The sequence below is a fragment of the Homo sapiens genome, chromosome 14 (genome assembly GCF_000001405.40).
Source record: "Homo sapiens chromosome 14, GRCh38.p14 Primary Assembly".
NCBI classification, from domain to species: Eukaryota; Metazoa; Chordata; class Mammalia; order Primates; family Hominidae; genus Homo; species Homo sapiens.
Genome location: NC_000014.9, coordinates 70,266,744 through 70,282,722, shown reverse-complemented (window position 1 = coordinate 70,282,722; position 15,979 = coordinate 70,266,744). Strand labels below are relative to the sequence as shown.

Genomic DNA, 15,979 nt, shown 5'->3' with positions numbered 1-15,979 from the left:
CTGCCTATAGGAAGATTCTGCACTCCTCTTAGGCAGGAGAAAGAAGGCAAGTGACACTAGGGCAGGAAAGCTTGCTGAGGAGAGGTAGGGAACATCTGAATGCTAACAGCCTAGGACTGCTGTTTGAGATCTCCCTCTCACATTGGTTGCTTTCTGTGCAAGAACACAATGTGGTGGGAGTAATGAGGAATTTAAAAGGCAGGCTGATGGCTGGGCTCACGCCTGTAATCCCAGCACTTTGGGAGGCCGAGGCAGGTGGATCACGAGGTCAGGAGATTGAGACCATCCTGGCTAACATGGTGAAACCCCGTCTCTACTAAAAATATAAAAATCAGCCACGTGCGGTGGCACGCGTCTGTAGTTCCAGCTACTCCGGAGGCTGAGGCAGGGGAATCGCTTGAACCTGGGAGGTGGAGGTTGCAGTGAGCCGAGATGGTGCCACTGCACTCCAGACCGGCGACAGAACAAGACTCCGTCTCAAAGAAAAAAAAAAAGGCAGGCAGACATCTACGGCAGACAGTGAAAGAGCCCTGTGAGAAAGGGACTGAACAAGGAGCATCATATGTAACCAAGGAAGCAGTGCCAAGTAGCCCCAGCTGGGGCTTAACAAGAGGAAGCTGGCTGGAACCAGAGCTCTGGGTAGAATGGGGAGGTGTTTATGAAGTATAGGTACTCAGCTTTCTCTTTGTTTATGAACTCTCAGATGGAAATGAAGGAACTTGGAACTGTGTGTGTGTGTCAGAGGAAATATGAATGAACAAGTTGGGGTGATTTTTAAAACATGGCTAAGACTGATTTAAACCACCATTCCTAAACTGCAGAAATTCTAAATCCCTCCCTAAGATTTCTGTGAATTTCTGGATGGGCCCATGTCCACTAGGATCCCCCATTGACTCCACATTCCAATTCTACTGAGTGCATTCCATTTATAGATAATTTCCACACCCTGTTTACCAGCCTGCCGAAGTTAGAATCTAGTTTTGCCTCTTACCTGCTGCGTTACCTTGGACAAATCACTTAACCTCTCAGCTTCTGGTGCCTCACTCACAAAATGGTGAAAATACGATTGCTTACCTTATAGGTTTGCACTGAGTTTCATTAAATAAGATAGTTACTATAAAGCATTTAAATATGTGTATGTATGGATGTTAGAATTCCACTTGGCACATAATCAACATGTTAACATTATTATTATGCTGAGGTGATTATTATGCATTAAAACAGATGTTGAACTCAGCCTCTTTTCTTTCCACTCAAAACAGCCCTCTCAAAAGGGTCTGTGTGTGTTTACATGTTTGTGTTTGTGTCTGTGTTTATGCATGTGTTTGTATGTGTTTTTTTTGTGTGTGTGTTTTTGTGTATGTGTGTGTGTACAGAAGACTTTATTAAATATTAGAGTGATGAACAAGTTTTCATTTAATTTGTGCCAACAATGTGTAATTTCAGGGTATATATTTAATAATGGTGTTCCTAGAAGTTCCTCAGACATTTCCACTCTAAACTCACCCTTTCTCATTCCTCCTGCATTCCACATTTCTAATCTTTGTGAATGCAAAGTAACTGAGCTACCTGTTACTCCACCTTTAGCTCTACTGACTGATGTTCTCAGGGTCTCATCTTCCACCCCCAACCTGTTTATCAAGAACTGCCTTAAGCATAGGTATTTCCTTTGCACATATCATGCAGTAGATACAGTTCCCAGTGGTTCTCATGAATTCTTTAATATTGAAGTATGTTAAAAGAAATCTGATTAATTATTTTATCATTTGAACTTTTACTCCGGCTGCAGTTTTTCTATAAATCCACATTTTCACACTTTAGGCTGCAAAAGTAATACAAGAGACCGTGAGCCCCTAGAGAGCAGAGATCAAATCACTTTCATTGTTATACTCACAGCATTACCCAGTCGGTGGATCAAAAATTGATATACATTTGTATTTCATTGTCTATGTATATAAATATATATATATATATATATATATATTTTTTTTTTTTTTTTTTTTTTTTTTTTTGAGATGGAGTCTTGCTCTGTCACCAGGCTGGAGTGCAGTGGTGCAATCTCGGCTCACTGCAACCTCTGCCTCCTGGGTTCAAGCGATTCCCCTGCCTCTGCCTCCCGAGTAGCTGGGACTACAGACGCATGCCACCATACCCGGCTAATTTTTTGTATTTTAGTAGAGATGGGATTTCATCATGTTTGCCAGGATGGTCTTGATCTTCTGACCTCGTGATCTGCCCGCCTCAGCCTCCCAAAGTGCTGGGGATTACAGGCGTGAGTCACCGCGCCTGGCCATCTATATCTTTCCAGTAGGAATGAAATACCTTTTTCTGGGAGAAGGCTTCAAGCCTGATGTTCATTTGCAATTAGTAGATATACAGGTGCGGAATTTCTTCACTATCATGTCAGTAAAGCAAATGATTCCTTTTGGCCTCAACTAGATAAAGGCCCAAATGATATCTGTTCCACTGTATAAGCCCGGGAACTTTTGAACATCACAAGTAATTCTCATTCTTTTCCTCCACAGGATTTGGTTTATAACTTTGTGTTGTTGTAGTTAACCTCCTTGATATTTGATTTTTCTGAGGCATAGTAAATAAGTTCAATTTCTTTTTCTTTTTAGGAAAATATATTTTTTATTGTTACACCAGCAGTGATACAAAAAGTCTAAACAGAAAAGTGTTCTTTTTTGTTTTAAACTTTTATTTTAGGTTCAGGGGTACATGGGCAGGCTTATTACATAGGTAAGCTCATGTCACAGGGGTTTGTTGTAACAGATTACTTCATCACCTAGGTACTAAGCCCAGTACCCAATGGTTATTTTTTTCTGCTCCTCTCCCTCCTCCCTCCCCCCACTCTCAAGGAGACCTCAGTGTCTGTTGTTCCCTTCTGTGTGTCCATGTGTTCTTATCATTTAGCTCCCACTTATAAGTGAAAGCATGCGGTTTTTGGTTTTCTGTTCCTGCATTATTTTTCTAGGGAAAAATAACTTCTATTTCTACCAAGTTTAACATTGTGACTACAGTTATTCCTCCCAGTGGGGAATTCCTGGGAGAAGAAAAGATAAAAGAAATGGTTTCTGAAAGGGAAAGGTGACATTCTTTTCTCCATAGACATGTTATTTTTAGAACGGCAGATGTCTCTTTTGTTTCATACACAATTTTGTTCAAAAAATATTTGTGGCCGGGCACGGTGACTCATGCCTGTAATCTCAGCACTTTGGGAGGCTGAGGTGAGCAGATCCATTGAGGTCAGGAGTTTGAGACTAGCCTGGCCAGCATGGTGAAACCCTGTCTCTACTAAAAATACAAAATTAGCCAGGCGTGGTGGTGGGCACCTGTAATCCCAGCTACTCAGGAGGTGGAGGCAGGAGAATTGCTTGAACCTGGGTGGTGGAGATTGCAGTGAGCCAAGATTATGCCACTGCAACTCTTCTGGGAGATAGAGCAAGACTCAGTCTTAAAAAAAAATTATAATAAAGAGTCTGACGTCTGACTCTATGTTTCATCCTGACATCTTTTAAACCTTGCCTCTTCTTCTTTCCCTCTGTCCCACATACGGAAAACTGATTAAAAAAATAAAGCCCAGGTGATGTCTCCTTTGGTACCAGTAGGAAGTTCAAACAATGCATAGGAACCCTTGACTTAGTCTCACTCCCCAGTCACCATAAAAACCCCAACCCAAACCACTTTCTCTGCTTTCTCAACACGTTTTTGGGCCGGCTTGGGAGCCACTTCTTTCCCCAGAAAGCCTTATTATGTGAGTATTAAATCTTTTCATACTCTCTTGGTAGGGGGTAGTTTACAACAAATTTCTGGTGGAGATCTATCTTGATTCTACAGTGTCCACAACAATTTTATTCAATATTTAATGCATACGAAGAAATATTTATATGTTTATGTATATGTTTACAATAGAAAAGTAGCTGTCTTAGTCTGTTTCTGCTACTATAACAAGATGCCTTAGGGTGGGTAATTTGTAAACAACAGAAATTTATTTCTTACAGTTACAGAAACTGGCAGGTCCAAGATCAAGGTGCCAGTAGATTCAGTGTCTCGTGAAAGCTGCTCTGTGCTTCCAAGACGGTGCCTTGGTGCTGTTACCTCAGATGGTGGAAAGGACAGAAGCTGTGCCCTCATGTAGCAGAAGAGATGGAAGGACCAGGCAGCTCTCCGAAGCTTCTTTTAGGAAGTCTTTAATCCCAGTCACAAGGATGGAGACTGGATGACTTAATCACTTCCCGAAAGACTCCGCCTCTTAATAGCACCACAATGGGGATTAAGTTTCAACGTAAGGATTTGGGAGTGACACAAACATTCTCAAGCCATAGTAGTAGCAATTATATACAAAAAAGCTCTAGAAGTATCATAAGAAATAGAACATTATATTTGCATTGCTTCTCCCTGATTTCATGCTTCACTCTCCCTAAACCTATCCCCACTGCAGCTCATCAGGGTATTAATTAGCCTGAGTTTGTTATTTATCACTCCCTTTGTTTCACTTTATGTTTACATTTTAACACAGATGTACGTATTTATTTATTTGACATGGAGTTTCGCTCTTGTTGCCCAAGCTGGAGTGCAATGGCACGATCTGGGCTCACTGCAACCTCTGCCTCCCAGGTTCAAGCGATTTTCCTGTCTCAGCCTCCCGAGTAGCTGGGATTACAGGCATGTGCCACCATGCCTGGCTAATTTTGTATTTTTAGTAGAGATGGGGTTTCTTCATGTTGGTCAGGCTGGTCTCGAACTCCTGACCTCAGGTGATCCGCCCGCCTCGGCCTCCCAAAGTGCTGGGATTATAGGTGTGAACCACTGTGCCTGGCCAGATGTATTTATAAATTGTGTGTGTGAGTTTTTTTTGAGTTGAGGTCTTGCTATGTTGCCCAGCCTGGTCTTGAACTCCTGGGCTCACAGGATCCTCCTGCCCCAGTCTCCTGAGTAGCTGAGGTTACAAGCATGTGCCAGCATGCCTGGTTTATGTTTACTGATTCATTATAACTGAAATCTTATGGTATATACTATTTGGGGACTTTTTCTTCTCAATGTTGTCTTTGAAAGTTTTCTTCACATTGATTTATGTAGCTGCATGCATTCATTGTCTCTACCATATTGTATGTCCATTGTCCATAAGTAATTTACAAATTATCCTTTCAGTGGACATGTTGGATTTTTCCCCTTATCTTTTAATCTTACATACAGTATTACTGTGAGGATCCTCGTACATGAGCTCTGGTGAAAATGTGCAAGTTTCTCCAGCATATATGCCCAGGAGTGGAATTTCTGGATCATACAGTACGCGCAGCTTTAACACATTTGATGATGACAAATCCATGTTCAAAGAGGCTATAAAAATTTACATTCTGTTTTCATACCTAACCATTTGGATAAACAATTCTCCCAGCACCATTTGTTGAAGGATTCTTAACCTACTGAGCCACAATATCACCTCTGCCATAAACTAAGCTTGCATACGTATGTGGTTTCTGAGTTCTCCATTCTGATCTATTTATTAGTCTGTTTTCATCTGTTTCTGTACAAGTGCAATGCAGGCTTATGAATATAGCTTAGTTATAAGCTTTGATATCTAATAGAGTAAGAACCCCACTTTATTCTTTTTCTTTAGTCGTATCCAAACTATTCTTGACCCTTTGTTCTGTAAAAATTTTAGACACAACTTATTGAGCCACTGACCCCCAAAACCCAAAATGTGTTAAGCTTTTGATTGGCATTGAATTGAATCTATAAATCAATTTGAGGAAAACTGATATCTTTGCATTATTGAGTCTACCTATGTATAAACATGGCATAACTCCCCATTTATGGAAGTCTTCTCCAATGTCCTTCAGTAAAGTGTTACAGTTTCCCCCCAGGAAAGGCTTGTACATTTTTGGTTTTATTTATTCCTAGCTGTCTTATTTTTATATGCTATTGTAAATGTAATCTTTTTTAAAATTAAGCATTATGTTTAAATTATCTGCGGATTTGATGGTGCTTGATGCTTTATATATAAAAGAACTGACATGCATGTCTTGGTTTTGATTCAAAATACAGTAACCTTGCAAGAATCCCTCATTAATTCCAATATTTTACTAGAAATTATTTTGGTTTTTATCTGCACCTCTGAAAAATAACGGTTTTTCCTTTATTTCCTTTCTGGTCCTTGTAACTTTTAACTCTTTTTTTTTTTTTTTTTTTTTTTTTTGCTTTTTACTGGCTAGAATTTTCAAAACAATGTTCTATATCAATGTCTTCTTCCTGATAGTAAAAGAGAAGGTTTTTACCATTATGTATGTATGTAGACTTCTGTAGATACTTTACACTGGCTAGTGGCTATCCTGAGAGTGCTCCTTGGTTGCCTGACAATGCACTGTCTAGGACTGGACAATGCACTATCTAGGACTGGGAGCACTGCCTCTTCCCAGCTCAGCAGGAGGGAGTAAGGCTGAGCCCAGCCTGAGGACTGAAGGTGCTACTTCCCTGAGATGCCTGAATACAATTTCCCCAAGATCACCAGTAAAAATGAAAACATATGACCACACAAACACATAAACATAAATGTTCACAGCAGCATTATTCACAATAATCAAAAAGTAGAAACAACCTAAATGGCCATCAACTGATAAATGGATAAATGAAATACGGCCTATTCATACAATGGAATATTGTCGATAAAAAGTAATGAAATACTGATGACACATGCTACAACATGGATGAACTGCAAAACCATTATGCTTAGTGAAAAAAGCCAGTCACAAAACACATATTGGATGATTCCAATTACATTCAATGTGAAAAAATGGATTTATAGATATAGTAGATTAGGAGTGGAAATAGAGAGTGACTGTAAAGGGACATAAGGTCTCTTTTTAGGGGGACGGAAATGTTCTAAAGTTCAGGTGTGATAAAGGTAAAATTAGGTTATTGTGCAACACTGATAATATACTAAAATTCACTGAATTATACACTTAAACACGAAAATTTATGGAATGTAGATTATATCTCAGTGAGGCTGTCTTAAAGACGGATCAATAAAAGCAGCCGATGTTCCATGACAACTGATTGGCTGGCATCTAACCCTAGACCTCTTGGTGTCTAGGTCCTGACTGCTTATTTGCTGCATACATGGCTGCTCTGATGCTTGCATAGAGAGTAGAATAGCAATGGGGCTGGGCATTATCACAAATCACTGAACAGCTAGTATCTACCCATTGCTTGCTACATAAGTCCTAATTGTATTTCCTGCACTAAAAGCCACTCTCTCTCTTACACAATAAGCCTGTAGCAAGGCTACAGAATACCCATCTCCCTTACACTCAGAGCAGAGCCACAACTCTATCCAAGAATGCTCTGGCCCCTACTTACCTCTGCATTGGATTACGAGACAATGGAAGAATTGGACCTTATCTTGAAATATTCCAGATTCCCCCCTGCACAAAAAATAAAATAGAATCTGTTTTATATACCCATATCAGATGCCATCATGGTGTTTATCGTCACCTACTTCTTCTAATCCTGGTCTGCCCACAGTTTCTACTAGATGGGTGTTGAATAACTGAATGTTTCTTTCCCCATATATGGAGGTGCATATCCTATATTTCTCCTTTAAAAATGCTAATGTGGTGAATTACATAAATTAATTTTCTAATGTTAATCCAACCTTCCATTCCTGAGACAAGCCCAGCTTGGTCAATGTAACAGATACTGTTGGTGCCCTGCCTAGATCCCCTGGGATCCTTTTTACCGGCTTGTGCCCATTCCCTAAATGCTACAGTGATGCTGCTAATAGCTCACACCTGCCTCATTCTCAGGAGACACACCCCTGTTTGATTGGAATTGCCTCACCAGAAGGTGCTTACAAGTTATACCCTGCAGTGATCCTGGGAGGTATCTCTAGTAGAGAGACCATGTGGGGGTCTCTGGCAAATACCAGTAAGAAGATTATAGTGCAGGCATCAACCAGCCACAGTCTTTGGCTACTACAGTGCTGACGTAATGGGCTCATGAATGGAGTAGGCATAATGGTAGAGATGAAGGCTATGCATGGGCACAAAAGCAGGCCATCCCTCTCACCATAGCTGACCTAGCTACTGCTGCCACCCTACATGTCAATGACGGAGACTAATGCTGAGCCCTTACTAGTGCATGAATCTTTGAGGAGACCAACCAGCTATTAGTGACACTTGATTACTTAAGACCCCTTGCACCCTAGAAAGTGCAGCAATTCATTTTGACTAAAATTGACATGTTTTCTATGTATGAGTTTACCTTTTCCTGCCTGTACTGACTTGGCTAGCACCTCTGTTCATGGGCTCATAGAGTATCTGATTAACTAACATAGGATCTCTCATATACTATTACTTCAGATTCAAGGAACAAAAGTTATGACAAAAGAGGTTCCGCAGTGGGCAAATAGCTGTGTAATTTGCTGATCTTACTGCATCCACATTGTCTGTAACACAGACAGTAAGAGTCTACCTAATAGAGTAGTGGAGTCCACTATCTTGCTTCACCTCTCAGGACACTAGCCTAATAGAGTAATGGAATGGCGTCTAAAAAATGCAGTTGTGGCCACAGCTTGGGGATGTTGTCCTACAAAGATGAAGCACCATCCTTCAGGATGCAGTATACAAATTAAATCAGAGGTTTGCAAATAATGGTTCTTAGGCCAAATATGGCTTGATGCAGTTTTTATCAACAGAGTTTTATTGAACACAGTTACCAATCATCATTTATATATTATCTATGGTTCCTCTTATGCTACATCAGCATAGGTGAGTAGCTGTGACACAGACCATATGCTGTACAAAGATTAAAATATTTACTGTCTCACCCTTTGCAGAAAAAGTTTGCCATTCGTCCATTAAACCAGTGGTCCTTATGTAATTCTTTTTCTCAATAAAATATGGAGTCTCAGAGCCAAGGGTTGGGAGGTAGGATGGCCCTGTGCCAGCAACCCACTTGGGAAAGTTTTGCTTTCAATTTTGAAACTCTAGCTCTTTAGTTTAAGAACTAGAAGTGCTGGTTTGTAGAAGGGGGACTGTTTCTACTAGAGGACATATTAATGGTTCCACTAATCTTAAAGCCATGGCTGCCACTAACCATTTTAGGTCCACTGTGCCAGCACACCAGCAAGACACGAGTTACCGTACTTGAAGGGGTAGTTGTCTTCGATAACCATGAGGATTCATGATTATTATTATGCTACATAATGGTGGCAGGGAAGAGTATATTAAGCACTCACATGAGCCACTTGGGGTATCTCTTGGTAATGCCAACCCCTATTTTAACTGTAAATTGGCAAGTAGAGCAAACTATGGTCAGATAAGTTCATGGTAACCAAAATCTCATCCCCCTCAAGAGACACCACCAGGCAAGCCACCTAGACCAGCAGAAGTGCCAGCTAAGGGTGAGAGAGAAAGAGAATGGGCAGTAAAGAAAGGAAACAGTATCAGTTCTGATCTCAGGACCAACTGCAGCAGTGGAAGCTATAAGCTTCATCACACTAACTAGGAACCCATCATAGTCCTAAAAGATACAATCCTGAATATTGAAATCCCAAAAAGAAAAACTCCTATAAGTCCCAAATCCCCAAAGTCACAACCTTGAAAGATCAAAATCCTAAAAATACAATTCTGGAAAAAATAATAAAAAATTCCTTAAAGTATATTTATTTACATTTTTAAAAAAGGATTTGAGAAACATGAAACATGAAAACATGAGAGAATACTTCATTAGCCACTTTATACAATAAAATAAGCCATAAATAACATTTTTGCAAGTAAAAACACTCAGGTTACCTAATGATGGGTACACTAATGACAGTCACAACATATAACCTAGGTAAAGAAATAGCTTTTATAACTGCAGTAATATGAAATATCGTGACGGACAACCTAAGTCTTTTGATGAGACCCCAAAGAGCCAAGATCTCAAGAAATTTTATCTTTCACAAATGTAGATGGGCAAAAAGGGCATCTCATTTATTGCGGAGCTTTCAATGTTTTTATGTACACGCACAATGTTTGCACGCAAAGTCAACATTGTGATAATGCATCTTTGTGGAGTCAAATTTGCAAAAACTTCATAAAACAAATTAGAACTCTAAAAGTCTTTACACAATTTATACCTCCAGTATTGGAAATGATGCGAAGATATAACAGCATGGCAAACTTTATTTATTTTTTGAGACAGTCTCGCTCTGTGGCCCAGGCTGGAGTACAGTGGCGTGATCTCGGCTCACTGCAACCTCCACCTCCTGGGTTCAAGCCATTCTCATGTCTCAGCCTCCCTAGTAGCTGGGATTACAGAAGCCCGCCACCATGCCTGGCTAATTTTTGTATTTTTAGTAGAGATGGGGTTTTGCCACGTTGGTCAGGTTGGTCTTGAACTGCTGACCTCAGGTGATCTACCCGCCTTGGCCTCCCAAAGTGCTGGGATTACAGGCATGAGCCACTGTGCCTGGCCATCATAGTAAATTTTTTAAAATAATGATGACAATTTAAAATAGCAGGGAAAAAACTAAAAAAAAAAAAAAGGAAAATTAGACAAATGAAACAGTGTATTACAGGAATAGATTATGGGTAATTGCACAGAGGTAGTTCATAAGAGCTGGCCAACTTCCATGATCATTATGTTTTGAAGTCTTGCATCACAATAAATAGCTGTTTTTTTTCTCTTAGGGCATGACTCTCCTCAGAAAATACACTCACATTTTCTATGTGGTGCTGCTCTTTTTGAAATTCTCTTTGTGTTTCAATATACATGAACATAAGCATTCCCTTTGAAACTTCCCATCTTCCATGCCATGCTTCCATGTTGTTTTGGGCACTCAGAAATCCATTTCCCATGCACTTGTATACAGACTACAAATCTGGCAGAAACAACATTTGTGATCGAATAGCAACACCCTTGCATAAAGTGTCTTCTTATCCTACCACGCTCATAATAATTATTTTTGAACCAGTCAATAACTTCACTATATTCTTCAGGTCAATTCCAATTTAACTTATTAAAGCTTCTGGTATGTCATTGGCTGGAAGGAAGGCCAATGCAGGCAAATGACATATTTTTTTTTTCTTTTGAGACAGGTTCTTGCTCTGTCACCCAGGCTGGAGTGCTGTGGCTCCATCACGGCCCACTGAAGCCTTGACCTCCTGGGCTCCATTGATCCTCCTACCTCAGCCTCGAGTAGCTGGGATTACAGGCACACATCACCATGCCTGGCTAACTTGTATATTTTTGTAGAGATGGGGTTCTAGCCATGTTGCCCAGGCTGATCTCAAACTCCTGGGCTCAAGCATTCCTTCCGCCTTGACCTCTCAAATTGTTGGGATTACAGACTTGAGTCACTGCACCTGGCCCAAATGACACATTTTTAACTGAAGTTTTCATCTTGCAGTATCACATGGCCAATCCACTCACCTGAATTTTCTGCCAAATGCTTTGGGCTGAATGAAAAAAACAAACTTTATTGGTAACACCTTGAAATTCACTTTTAGAAGATTTGATTGCACTTAATTCCAAATCTGCCATTATAGTTTGGAGATTAAATTGAAATTCATTTTCTGCTCAGGGGCAGTGGTTCATGCCTATAATCCCAGCACTTTGGGAAGCCAAGACAGGTGGATCACTTGAGTCCAGGAGTTCAAGACCAGCCTGGGCAACATGGCTAACGTATTTTGTAGAGGATACAATTTTTTGTATCCTCTACAAAAAATACAAGAATTTAGCTGGGCATGATGGCCTGCCCCTGTAGTCCCAGCTACCCAGGAGGCTGAGGTGGGAGGATTGCTTGAGTCTAGGAGGTCTAGGCTGCAGTGAGCCAAGATCGCACCACTGTACTCCACTCCAGCCTGGGTGACAGAGGGGGACCCTGTCTCAAAAAAAAAAAAAAAAAAGGAAAAGGGAAAAGAAATCCATTTTCTTCTGTGAAGTCCACCAAATCTTTAAATAAGTGTTTACTTCACTTTTCCAGTCATTAATATGTAAGTAGGTGGATAAGTTTTAGTATTTTCTGATCCAACAGGGTCATGAATTGTATCTAGTTGATAAAAAACAATGGTGACAGTTTTGAAGTACCATCTATTAGCCAAAGTAAAACGTGTTAGTTTTTCTGTTAGATTCAGTGATAAATATAAAAAGTCTATCTTCTTTGACAGTCAAATCCCTAATCAAGAATAGTTCACCATTTCATGCATTTTGTAAGATGCGGAGGAACCTCAGTATCAGTTAGTGTCTTTGGTTTAGAAGGTTATTAAGGTTGTTAAATTCTTTTAATTCTCTGACAAAGGATATTTTTTGAAGGGAAGCATGGCACTATGTGTGAAGGGGCAGAAGTCATACACGATTGAATCATTTGACAAGGAAGATTTCTTCTATGTTCCACTTAGAGTTTCACTACTTCTATGATCGTTGAAATACTTGCTGCACTTGTATTTTGAGAGAGGTTGTGGTCTACACATTTCCTAACTATATGCTGTCCATTTGAAAGTCTGGTTATTGCTCAGTTGTTGCAATTAAGTGATTTTCTGCTTTCAAAGCACCAATTAGAATTAGCTTTTAAATTTTTATCTTTCAACATTAAGTAGCCTCATACACTTAACTTATCACAGCCTTATTTCAAGGGAACAGTTTCACAGATCTCTTCCATTGTGTTGTAAGGAATATAGTAAGAAGGAATGATACTCAGCTTCCCCATTACCAAATCTACATTAGTCAGGGTTCTCTAGACAGAACCAATAGGATCTGGATGTAGATATATGAAAGGTGATTTATTAGAGGAATTGGCTCATGCAATTATGGTGACTGAGGAATCCCACAACAGGCCATCTGCAAGCTGGAGACCTTGGGATCCTGATGGTGGGGCTAAGACCAAGTCCAAAGGCCACAGAACCAGACAAGCCGATGGTGTAACTCTCCATCAGAGGCTGAAGACCTCAGGGCCCAGGGGGCTGCTGGTATAAGTCCTGGAGCTCAAAGGCTGGCAAGCCTGGAGTTCTGATGTCCAAGGCAGCAGATGAAAAATCTGTCCCAGGTCTCAGAGAGAGTCCAATTTGCCTTCAGTATTTGTTTTCTTTGGTCCCCTCACCTATTGGATGATGTCCACCAACACTTCCCCACCTAATCCATTCAGGCTCACACTCTATCTCCTTTGGAAACACCCTCACAGATACACCCAAAATAATGCTTTACCAGGTTTCTAGGTATTCCTTAATCCAGTCAAACTGACACCTAAAATTAAGTCCACCAGTCCAATCCTTGTCAATTTGGCACCCATAGACATATCTTTAAACAAGACTTAATTTCCAAATAAAGACAATAGCATGTCTTTATTTGGTTTTAACATGTATGCAACTGTCCTGTGTTTGTGATTTTCAGGATTTTAGACATTAGGGATTTAGACTTTAGGGATTTTGATCTTTCAGGATTTCAATATTCAGGATTATGGCATTCAGGATTGTATCTTCTGGGATCATATTCCAACCCCCTACTAACTTTCTATTTTAAGATATCCTAGAAAGTGTAATCAACCAGAATCCTGGAGAAGTAAAAGCATGAAAGGAACCTAATGTGTGAGGGAAGTGGACCTGAGTGATACAAGGAATGAAGCATAGCAGACAACGCTGGTGTTCTGTCCAGATCTCCTGGGTTTCCTTCCATTGGTTCAGCATGGCCATTCTCCAGCTGCTGCAGGTTCTGTTGCTAACAGCTCACACCTGCAATAGTCTCAGGAGGATTGCCCTTGGCAGATTGAAGCAACACCACCAGGAGGTGTCTGGAAGTTATGCACTCATCTCTGTAACAGCCTGTAAACAATGACTGACTGATGCTTGATATGGAGGTACAAAAAAAGCCTCACTCCCTTGCCACCAGGTAGGAATGATCCCTCAGTATTTCGGAGCTCCTGGACATTTCAGGCTAATGCTATAGCTGAAACTATAGACTTGCTTCCCTTGACCTCTTCTGTTTTCCTCATTCCCCCACAGATTTCTCAGGTAATCATGCAATTTCTCTCTTAATAAAATGCTTGATTATCTCTGTCCTGCTTTTGTAAAGTTCATTCAGTAATTTCTCCCTAATATCTAAAATTGGAATTCTTAGTTCATAATTCTGAGCCTTTTTGCTTATTTGAGAATATGTAATGATCCATTTTGCTCAAAGGGAGACTTTAGCAACATTCTTCATCATTCAGTTCTAAGAATTAATTTCCATTATGAATTTTTTGGCCCACAAATACACTTAAAAATTTCTAAACACCCATGGGGGGATTTCTATTTGTCGTTTTGTTACTGATTTTTAAACTTACTTTTATGGCTGTCAGATAAGTATTTTGTATGATACTAATTAAAAACATTTATTAAGTTGTATGCATTGCCACAAATATTTTGTTTTGGAAAAGAATGTATATTCTGCAGCTGTTGAATACGGTTTTCATTAAACTTGTTAATTGTGTTGCTCAGATTCTCTACATTCTTGTGTTTTTTTTTTGTCTCTTTGATTTCTTATGTGGAATTAGTTAAAATCTTCCTCTGTGATGGTAAATTTGTCTCTATATTTTGAACTGTTATTAAATGTATAGACGTTTAGAATTGTTATATTTTCCTAATGGATTAAAGCTGTTATCATTATACAGTGACCATCTATATTTCTAGAAGTGCTTTTTGCTTTAAAGTTTATTTTTTTGTCTGATATTAGCATAGCTACACCATATTTCTTTGTTTAGTATTTTCCTAATCTATTTTTCCCATGCTTTGACTTTCATGCTTCCCATGTCCCTATGTTATAGTTTTATAGGTGAGGCACTTACAAAGAGCATAGAGTTGTATTATTTTTAATCCAGTCTGACATCTTTGACTTCTAATTGGATAGTTTAGACAATTTCTATTAAGATACGTTTTATATTTGGTATGGTAGAAATTTTTATTATCAAAATATTCACTGACCCTTCCTAGCAAGGACTGCCTCTTCCATGCTGAAAAGTATATTCTCTGCTATATCCCTGCTAAAGTATAAATTTCCAGCTCCATTAACATGTAAACCCATTAATAGGCTTGACCATGTGATTTTTTTTAACCAATTAAAACTGAGTAGAAGTAAATGTGCCACTTCTGAGTAGGGCTTTTTTGTTTTGTTTTGAGATGGAGTCTCACTCTGTTCTGCAGGCTGGAGTGCAGTGGTGTGATCTTGGCTCACTGCACTGCAGAAGAAGGGATTCTTCTGCCTCAGCCTCCCGAGTAGCTGGGATTACAGGTGCCTACCACCACACCCGGCTAATTTTTGTAGTTTTAGTAAAGATGAGGTTTCACCTTGTTGGCCAGGCTGGTCTCGAACTCCTGACCTCAGGTGATCTGCACGCCCCAGCCTCCCAAAGTGCTGAGATTACAGGCGTGAGCCACCATGCCTGGCCTGACTAGAGGCTTTTGAATCAACATTCAAAAGCTGAGTTGTTCTCTGCCACAATACCTGCAGTATTCCACACTGAGGCTGCTCTTTCGTTGTGTCCCAGATTGAATAGCTAAAGCTAACTGAAGACTACCGTGTGATGTGAGAAATAAACCCTGGATTCCATAAGTCACTGATATTTGCAGATGACTTATGATTCTGACCTTATAAAGTCAGGATAATATATTTAAATGTATTTCTACCATATTATTTGCTGTTCTTTGTATATTGCTTCCTGCATTCATTTTCTTCTATTGTGCCTTCTTGATTGCTCTTTAAATTTTTAAATTCCTTTTCTTCTCTAAGCATTTGGAATTATGTTCTATATCCTTTTAAGTTACTTCCCTATGTATTTTAACTTGTATACCAGTATTTATTAGGATAAGCTATATTATTCACTGGGAATACACAATTTCAAATTCTCAGTAGCTTAGACCAACAAAGTTCCCATTTTTCCTCTATAATATATAGGCGGATGGAGGATCCAGCATGTGGGAGCATCACCAGTTGTAGTAGCAGAAAGAGAGAACAGAGTTTG

The 15,979-nt window shown here is 39.7% G+C and overlaps 1 long non-coding RNA gene across 4 annotated transcripts in view; it reads right to left on the bottom strand.

The window, feature by feature from the left end:
* Positions 1-15,979, bottom strand: part of LOC101928046 (uncharacterized) — a 60,419-nt gene that overhangs the window by 32,515 nt on the left and 11,925 nt on the right. For all 4 annotated transcript variants that reach the window (XR_007064236.1, XR_943988.2, XR_943990.2 and 1 more), the window contains one exon: positions 7,363-7,427. This is a non-coding gene — a long non-coding RNA (uncharacterized LOC101928046). The remainder of the gene's footprint in view (positions 1-7,362; positions 7,428-15,979) is intronic.